Genomic DNA, 9,653 nt, shown 5'->3' with positions numbered 1-9,653 from the left:
AGGAAATGCTTACGAGTTGAAACAAAATCTATTTTGGCATTGATTCTTAACACTGGAAGAAGTCTTTTTAAAAACATTTAAAGCTCAGATCCTAGCCCCTGGAGCAGCAGTATTTTCAAAAATTCTCCCAGGTGATTCTAAAATGCAGTAGATAAGCGTTCTTTGAGAAACCTCCAAACTGCTCTCTACAGTAGCTGAACTAATTTACATTCCCACCAACAGCGTATAAATGTTCCCTTTTCTCCACATCCTTACCAACATCTGTTATTTTTTTACTTTCAATAATAGCCATTCTGACTGGTGCAAGATTGTTATCTCATTGTGGTTTTAGTTTGCATTTCTCTGATGATTAATGATGTTGCACATTTTTCATATATTTGTTGGCCTCTTGCACATCTTCTTTTGAGAAGTGTCTGCTCATGTCCTTTGCCCACTTTTTAATGCAGTTATTTTTTTTTCTTTTTGATTTGTTTAAATTCCTTATAGATTCTGGATGTTAGTCCCTTGTCAGATGCATAGTAAACAAAGTTTTCTATAATGCCATTCTGTAGGTTGTCTGCTTACTCTGTTGATAGTTTCTTTCCTTGTGCAGAAGCTCTTTAGCTTAATTAAGTCCTGATTGTCAATTTTTGTTTCTTTTGCATTTGCTTTTGAGGTCTTAGTCATGAACTTTTTGCCTAGACCTATATGTCCAGAAGAGTTTTTCCTAGGTTTTCTTCTAGGATTTTTATAGTTTGAAGTTTTATATTTAAGCCTTTAATCCATTTTGAGTTAATGTAAATTAATTCAGTCCCTGTGAAAAGCAATATGTGCATTTCTCAAAGAATGAAAAACAGAACTACCATTTTGACCCAGCAATCTCACTACTGAGTATCTATCCAAAAGAAAGAAATCATTCTACCAAAAAAACAGCTGTATTAGTATATTTATTGCAGCACTGTTCACAATAGCAAAATCATGGAATCAATCTAGGTGCCCCTCAATAGTGTTAGCTATGAGTTCTAAATTTCTTTTCAAAGAATCAATATGTCAGTATGTTCACTTCTTTGCCTTCTACTTTTAAATTTAACTTCCTCATAAAGCAACCTTTTTCGATTACCTGCTCCCCCCTGACTCATTTCAATCACCTGCTCCACCCTGACTCATTCTAATTACTTGCTCCACCCCCATTCCGATTACCTACTCCACCCTGACTCATTCTGATTACCTGCTCCACCCTGACTCATTCCATTACCTGCTCTGTCACAACCGTTTTTCCCGCCAAACCACTCACCCCATCACTCTCTTTAAATTAGCCAATCGGAATTAGTTTAGCCCGTGCAGTTTAACCCTAGCCAACAGGTAAAGGACACAGCAGCAGAGGCCATGTGCATCAGGGATAAGAACTCCTTCCCCTCCCTTGTCCAAATGTGTGCTCATCATTGCTCCATCTGTAAGGGTGCACCCTTCTATAGAAGTACCTTGCCTTGCTGAGAATTAAAACAAAATTTTATATTCGAGTGCTATTTCTTTTGCAGCACTGAAACTTTATATATAACAATAGTAAATGGAATAAAGAAAATGTGGTATATACATACCATAGAGTACTATGCAGCCATAAAAAAGAATGAAATCATGTCCTTTGCAGCAACATGGATGCAGCTGGAGGTCATTATTCTAAGTGAATTACCACAGAAACAGATAATCAAATACCACATGTTTTCACTTAAAAGTGGTAGCTAAACAATGGGTGCATATGTACATAAAAATGGAGGCAATAGATAACTCAGAATTCCAAAAGGGGGAAGGGAAGGAGAGGGACAAGGATTGAAAAACTACTTATTGGTTACTATGTTCACTATTTGGGTAATGTGTTCAATAGAAATCCAAACCCCAGAATTACACAATATATTCACGTAGCAAACTTGTATATATACTCCCCTCAATCCAAGACAAAAAGAAAAAGCAAAGAAAATGCAGTGTATTTTGAGAAGCATTCACTTATTCAATAGCCACTAAACAATTTGCTATGTGGGATTGAAGCTCTGCGGAGGGGCCAACTAGAGATCACAGATTTGGTAGATAGGAGTAGCAAGTCAGATGCTAAGGGCTGAATTCATCTGGCAGAGCCTTTTATTTGGCCCAGCATGGTGGGGTTTGTTGTGGAGTTTTTTTCTTAGGTATAACATTAAATGTCTTTAGGCATTTACAGTTTGCCACAGGCCCTATCATTTCCTATTGCTTGCACTAATCCACTTCACGTATTTAATTACCTGGCTGCCCCCTGTTGTAAAGGGTAGTTAAAATCATGACAGTATGTCAGATAACCCAAAGGAAAAAGAAAAGGCCATAGAGTCCTGCAAGTACTTTATATAAATAGGCAGTGGAAGGGAACTCTGGGGAAAGAAAATCAGAAGGAAAGGTAGAAGAGATAAGAGGAGAAATCAAAAAAGGACTGGCAAGTCATTAAATGAAATTAATATGGATCAATGCCTATACATACAACTAGAAACTTTAATTTAGTGGTTATTTTATAGATCTCAGTGCCATCACTGTTTGGAAGGGTTGAAAGGATAGGGTTGATAAAATTATATTGTACATATTTATGTATTACACAACAGGAATAGGAAAAGTTTGCAAAGTCATAAATTGAGTCCATGATGAATCTTTGACTGAATGCTTTACAACTCACAAATAAGATCTGTAAGTTTCTACCTTAAAATAAAGTGATTTGACAAGATGTAACTTTTATCACCAACTTTATCTTTGTCCTCAACAGCAGCAGCCACCTGCTTAGTTGGATGAAAGGAGCATGCTCTCTATTTCATGTCTAATTAATACTTTCTTGCTTAGAGATTGTTGAAGAGCATGCCAGTTAGTGTTACCACCCACCAACTGAATTTTCACACAGTTTTAGACAGCATGGAAAAGACAATAAGTTCTGGAATGTCATTCCTGTTTGATCGAACTCTTTTTTTAGTTTGTAATAAGAAAAATTATCAAATATCCCTAAACACTTATAAACTTTCCTATAATAAATCTAGGGAAAAAACACAAGTTGCAGAAAGAACATGAACTCAAATACATGGAAAATCAGATATATACATTCTTTTTAATACCTTGAATATCAGTTTCTTGAGGTCAAGAACTGGTTAGATTCATCATTGTATCTATACTGCTTAGCATAATCCCTAATACATAACTAATATTTATTGTTTATTATTATTAATGTATTTACTGTGCTAAATGAAATGTTGGCCAAAAAGTAAAAACAATTGTGAGCTATTGTGTCTGAATACCCAATGACCAGGAAATTATTTTAGAAAGGATTCTGTAGAGGAGACAAATATTCAGCACCCCTCATTTCACTTCTAACCTCCACCTATCCTAGGCTTCAACCACATGGATGTGCAAGACTCTCATTTGCATGCATTCTTACCTTTGTTTATACTACTTCTACACATTTAATCCACACCAGTCACATCAGGCAATTCCCACTTGTCAAGAATAGGTCTGTGGGAGGGCATGTCACCCAAATCTGAAATGAAATGCAAGGTAGCCAATGAAATATATGGCAGCCACGCTGGAAATTTTGAGAAATATTTTCCTTCCTTGCAAGACAGAGAGGCTGAAGAACAAAGACTTTTTCCACTCTATTTCCTTGCTGAATGTAAAACTGTTATGTGCAGAGATAATTTCTGGATTATCAGCAGCTATGTGATCAGAAGGAGCAATATCGCCAACACTGCAGACAGTGGGGCAGAAACAGAGAATCGTGTCCTCGGTAATGTTACTGAGCCAGTCACTGAAACAATATGGAGACTGCCTAACTCCAGACTTCCTGTTATACTAACAAGAACTATCCTTGTGGCTTAAATTATTGCTAGTCAAATGTTGTTTCTTTCACTAAAACATTCCAACCAAATATCATACACTGTGGCAAAAACATTTATTGCCTTCCAACACCATTCTACCATTGCCTACTTTGCAAGAAAAGAGGCAATCCCACTATGAAGCCAAAAACGTCAGACTTGCTTTCTCATCTTCACTTGCTTGATAAAGTACATAAGTCGTCCTAATCTGTCACTCCTGAGGAAAGGGTTATGGGATATTTCTTGTTAAGATTTTCTCCTTCCTAAAAGAGATGCACAAAGAGAAGCCTCCATTCCTTTCTTACATTTTAACGTGACATGTGAATATGTGAGCTCAAAGCTACAGCAACTACTGTGATCATGAGTGGAAATCTAACAAAACTACATAGAAGCCAACTAAGAGCCCGGACACCTTTGAGCAGTTGAACCAATACTGGAATCACCTCTCTTGCTCTGTATTTGTGGTTATGTGAACAAAATAAAACCCTAAATAAGCCACTTTTAGTTGGGCATTATGTTATTGTAGGTGACAGAATTCAACTGAAACACCCACCTAATAGAGTTGTTGTGAGGAATTCAGTGAGAAAATTCACGTAAAGTGCTTAGCACAGGGCCTGTTTAAAATAAATAAATAAATACTAAGGAACATTAGTTAATATTACTAGCTTTAGTAGGTATATATTATGTCTGCCTAGACTCTTTTCTTCATCTGATACCATCAGTCTCCCTATTTTGAGGAACAGCTCTCCCTTTTTTCCACTTCAATCATATAATCTAATTGGGAACTGCCTGCCTTCTTCCAATCAAATCCAAATTCACAAGTCCCACTCTTAGTCTAGGAGTGGAACTAAGCGCCAAGCTGAGCTAAGTATCATGTTTTGTCACACTGGTTTCATTCATCGGTCCAGTAATTGACATATGTTTATCCAGAAACTCCAGGCATTCATGGTTTTAGCCACCCGGGGAAAGCCTGGCTGAGAGGATAAAGCCAACACACTGGGAAAAATGGTAGATAATAAAAACAGCCTTATTGTATTCAAGCCCCTGTTTCCAGTCCTCAGGTCCCACAGCTGCCCTGGTTATTGCCTTACTGAAGTGTGGATATAGCCACCTCCATTCTGTGAGTTACCCAGTATCCTCTTAGCATGTTAATAAAAATTGAGTGTCTGTAACTTGATACCATTAGAATTCTGATTAATACATTGTTCTCTACCTTATGAAATCCTACTCATGGTTTATCTAACGTCAACCACCAGCCCTATTCGTGTAACAAATATCTATTCAGAATCTACAGTATGTCAGTCACTGTAAGAAACACTACAGACATGAAAATGAGAAAGACGTAATCTTTGCCCTCAAGCTGCTTACAATCTTCAGAGACATACATGTGTCAAGATGATTACCGAGAAACTTATAAAGTACTTTAAAGAGCTGTGGAAATGGAGTGATGGAAGCAGGTAAGAAGGCTGTTTAATCTAGCCTAGGACAGGGATCCAGGGGCTAAGGAATAATTTCCCTGATGGGATGACAACTGGTAGGACTTTACAAGGACAAATAGAATTTAACTAGGGGAGCTTAATCAGGGAAGTGACTGGATCAGTATATGTAGAATCATCAGAACTTAGTGCCCAACAGAGCAAGGGGCTGAAACAAAGTTTAGTTTGAAAACTTTGATTGACTCTTGGCTTCATCACTAACTTGGGAACCACATGGGAAAAAAGAGGAGTACCTTCTGGGGGACAAGAAGATAAATTATGGACACAATGAGTTTCAAGTAACTTTGAGACATTCAAGTGGAGGTAGTAAGAACTCTGATATACGGGCTGGAACTAAATTTTTAAAAAGAAGCTTGGCCTAGAAATATATATTAAAGAGTTATCAGCATATAGATGACAATTGGAGCAATGAAAGTGAATGGCATTGTGAGAAGAGAATGTGTAGGACAGAAAAGTTCCAAAAATGGAACCCTAGGGAGCATGTAATGCCTTGAAAACCAATAGAGAAGAATGTTAAAAAGAGAGTGGTCAATGATTCATTCCCAGAGAAAGAGAGAATAAATTAAAATTGGTACTAGAATATGTCCTTTAAATTTAGCAACAACCTTGATAACAGTAGGTTCAGTTTGTAGAATATGATTATATGGATTGAAGAATGAATAAGAGGTATATAAGTGTGAATGAGATTGTAAATTACTGTTACTATTTTGAGACGTTTAGTTATCAACAGGAGGAGAAAGATCAGGAAGTAACTAAGTCAATTTTGTGGTTTGTTTATTTAATATGGGAACAATGCTTGAACATGTTTATATGTTTAGAGGAAGACTCATTAAGGAAAATAAAAGACAAGTCAAAGAAAATAGGGCAAGAATACTGAGGATGAAGATGATACCAACAGGCGTAAGATTAAGCTGGATCCAGACATTCCTCCACTCAAACCTTAAAACTGTCTACAAGGTCCTACATTATCTTGTCCCCAGATCCTCCCGATTATACCTCTTGTTTTATACTCTCTGTTGTTCACTCTGCTTCAGACACACTGGTTTCTTTGCTATTCTCAAACATGCCAAGCACATTTCAGCCTCTGAGATTTTGTACATTCTCTTTTCTGCTCCTAGAAAGAACTTCTCTAGATCTGCATGGCTCCTTCTCTATCTTTCTTCAAGTCTCTGCACAAATATCATCTTGTCAGTGAGGCCTTCCATGACTTTTCTAGTATATAAAGTAACAATTCCCTTGTTCCTATACTCTGCAGCACTCTTAACTTGCTTGATATTTTTCCGTAGCTCTTACCACATCCTGACATGTGCTTATAAAAATCTGCTTATTTATTTGCTTTTTGTCTGTCCTCCCCTAAAATATTTACTCCAAAATGAAAGCTAAATTTATTTCCTATACAATATTTCTAGTGTCTAAACAATGGTTGGTTCTCAATAGGTAGTCTAATGTTACTTAGGCAAAAAATTAATTGAGGAAAAGGATGAGCAGAGAGTGTAAGCTAGAGTAGAAGAGAGTGGAACCATAGGGGAATGTCTGATGGAGAGAAAAGGAACAAGTAAAGAGGCCAAACAGCAGACTTCCCAAAATGGAGAGACTCAAGACGATTTGTGTGACAAGGGGTTATGCTAGAGTTTAAAGTACTAGGGCTTAAGATCTCAGAATGCATGCCAAACTCCATGCATTGGCTTCCAAAGTGAGTACTGGAAAGTGGATTCCTGAGACATGGTGAAGAAGTTTTTTGGAGCTCAGGCAGCCAGAAAGTTTTTATGCTATGGTGTCAGATGTGTCATGGTTGTGATAGTAAAATTTTTCTGGTGTAATGGCAAGAAGTGCTATGAAGAAGCAGACAGTGAGTAAGATTCCTTGATGGACTAGAGATGCCTAGGGAATAAACGGTGATAACAAGGGGCAATGTGGAGGATGGGGGCAGAGAGTGGTGGAGATGCAGGCATGCAAGACAGAATTAAGGCAAAGTGAGTTTAGTTGGCCTGGATTCTCAAGAAAAACACAAGCTGGTAATATCAACAGCTGATGAAGCTAACAGTTTTATAACCAGTATCAGCTCTCTAAACATTTCTTTTTAAGTTAAAAAAAAAAAAAGAAAAAGGATGAGGTGATTTTTTTAGTGCTCATACAGATAGAAAGAATCCAGTGAAACCTGTATGTAATGAAGAGTCTGACTTCACATTTTGATGTTTGACTGCTAACTGCTTTTAAGCCACATCCCTCTCTCTTCCCCTTGTGACCCTCATCTGGGCAAGCTCATGAGTGCGCCTGGGTGCTCCCTCCTTGGTGCTGGCAGGAAATCCAAACCGAGTAAGTTCCTGACCATGCACAAGCTCAGGGACCCTCAGTCTGGCCCTATCCCCTCCCCACCATAAAACCCCAAGCTAGTCTCTTGTCCTTGCTGTCACAAGCCATATTCTGAATAGCTCAGAAAGCCTGCTCTGCTCTCCCAAAAAGCCTCGATATGTAAGTGATAAACCGTTTTATACCCTCTGTATGCGTGTGGCATCATTAGTCTTGACCTCCGACCCATGTTTTGGGTTGGTCTGTCCTGTTTCTGCAGTGTGTCCACAAAACACAACTGCTACAAAGGAGACTGTTCAGGGAAACCCTCACTGATCACATCAGACAGAATTAGTCACTCCTTACTTTATGCTCTTATTTATGTTTATTTATATCCTTAGTGTTCACTACAGTCTAATATTTATTATAATTGACTGTGTATGTATCTATCACTCACATTAAGATTCCTGAGGATAAAAATTGTATCTTATTTATCTCTGCATTCTCTAGAACTTTATATAAAATATGCTTAATAAATATTTGATTTATTGAATTTTTCAGGAGGTACAAGGACAAAGTGGCATTCCCTTGGGATATTAAAAGTCTCTGTTTTGATCTGAAGCTTTAAAAACACCTCCTGAATATATTCTGTCTCTCCTGGGCTCTCAGAGTTCATGATGTATCTGGAATCATGATATAAAAACAGCAAAACATAATATAAAGACCACTTTAAAAAGATCAATTCCTTCCAACTCGCTTCCATTCCCCTTATGGAATTACTAAACACAGGCTTAGTTGAAGATATCAGAAAGTTCATTCATTTTCTGTAAGAGCTATGAGAATGCTCATAAAACTGGTTTTGAATGAGAACCCACCCATCTGTTTTATGCTGTTTTTCAGGCAGTTAGCCTAATTAAGCCTCCTAGGCAGGTTAGAGTCCCCCTGTGGAAACTAAATTGACTTTAAATACAGAATTATCTCAAAATCTATGAGCTTTTGATTGATATCACAGTTAATTTTGACAATTGAAGTGGCTTCCTGCTTCTTTTCACTTTAGGAAGATGAATAATTATGGAAATGACCTCATTAACTCTTTGATGCCATTCATTGAAATTTATAGAAGTTATTATGCCTAAACTCAAGACCTAGAAGAGAAAAATAATCAGTCTATTAGGCATATTTGCTTCAAATTTTTATCTAGTTTTACTTTACTGTCATACCCATAGGCACTGTCAGAAATGTTAAATTGTGTGTCCAATGATACAAGAGATTAAGAAAAAAAAAAAAAAAAACTCCATTCAGATGAATATGGCCCTCACCAGTAAAGAAAATCAAAAGTATTTCACCACAAAATATTATTGTTTTACATATTTTGAGACAGCTATTCAGAGGGACTGCAGACAGGAATCACCCTGCAAAGCTGCCTTTTGTGGAGGAGATTTGCATATGTAGAGAAAAGTCTACATTAGCAAAATAAACAGCCAGGCTTTCTCTGAAGCCTCTCACTTGTCCAAATCTAGGAAAGATTAACTGACCACAGGCTACCATCTATTCTTTCTCAGAGCAGTTATCTGTGAGGTTTCATCTACATAACAAGACCGCCTTTGCTAGCCATGTCTCTACTCCTCTCTCCCTCTCACAACCTTTCTTGACACACTCCAAGCCCCCATTCCTCAAAATGGTATAAAATCATCAACCATCTGGGCCTTTTTTTGAGTTTTTATATTTTGTATGGCTCCCATGCACAAACATGCACATTAATAAATTTCATATGCTTATTTTCTTATGAATCTTCCTTTTGTCAGTTGATTTTTAAAGAACTTCAGAGGGCAAAGGGGAACTTTTTCTTTGGCCCCTACACAAGTACAGGACCTTCTACACCTCAAAATTTCCTTTTTTAAATCTCAGATTGGCAGCAGATTTCATCTTTTGTGTTCTCATATCATCTCAGTCTGGATAAGCAAGCGTTCAATCACCATAATAGAATTTTTACTCTGAAGAAAGGGGCACATTATGA

General features: G+C 37.4%; 2 annotated features.

Annotated features, from left to right (window-relative positions):
* Window positions 586–1,785: an enhancer, noted in NCBI's record as "P300/CBP strongly-dependent group 1 enhancer chr3:161399217-161400416 (GRCh37/hg19 assembly coordinates)". NCBI's record gives its function as "activates an origin of replication core promoter dependent on BRD2, BRD4, P300/CBP, MED14 and CDK7 cofactors, with strong dependence on P300/CBP, by STARR-seq in HCT116 cells {active_cell/tissue: HCT116}" and the evidence as "EXISTENCE:reporter gene assay evidence [ECO:0000049][PMID:35650434]".
* Window positions 8,450–9,435: an enhancer, noted in NCBI's record as "OCT4-NANOG hESC enhancer chr3:161391567-161392552 (GRCh37/hg19 assembly coordinates)". NCBI's record gives its function as "activates a minimal SCP1, AML or CMV promoter by ChIP-STARR-seq in naive H9 embryonic stem cells {active_cell/tissue: H9 hESC(naive)}" and the evidence as "EXISTENCE:reporter gene assay evidence [ECO:0000049][PMID:30033119]".

Source organism: Homo sapiens, chromosome 3, assembly GCF_000001405.40.
Source record: "Homo sapiens chromosome 3, GRCh38.p14 Primary Assembly".
Taxonomy (NCBI): domain Eukaryota; kingdom Metazoa; phylum Chordata; class Mammalia; order Primates; family Hominidae; genus Homo; species Homo sapiens.
The sequence above is the reverse complement of the archived record's forward strand: the minus strand, read 5'-3'. Positions and strand labels throughout refer to the sequence as shown.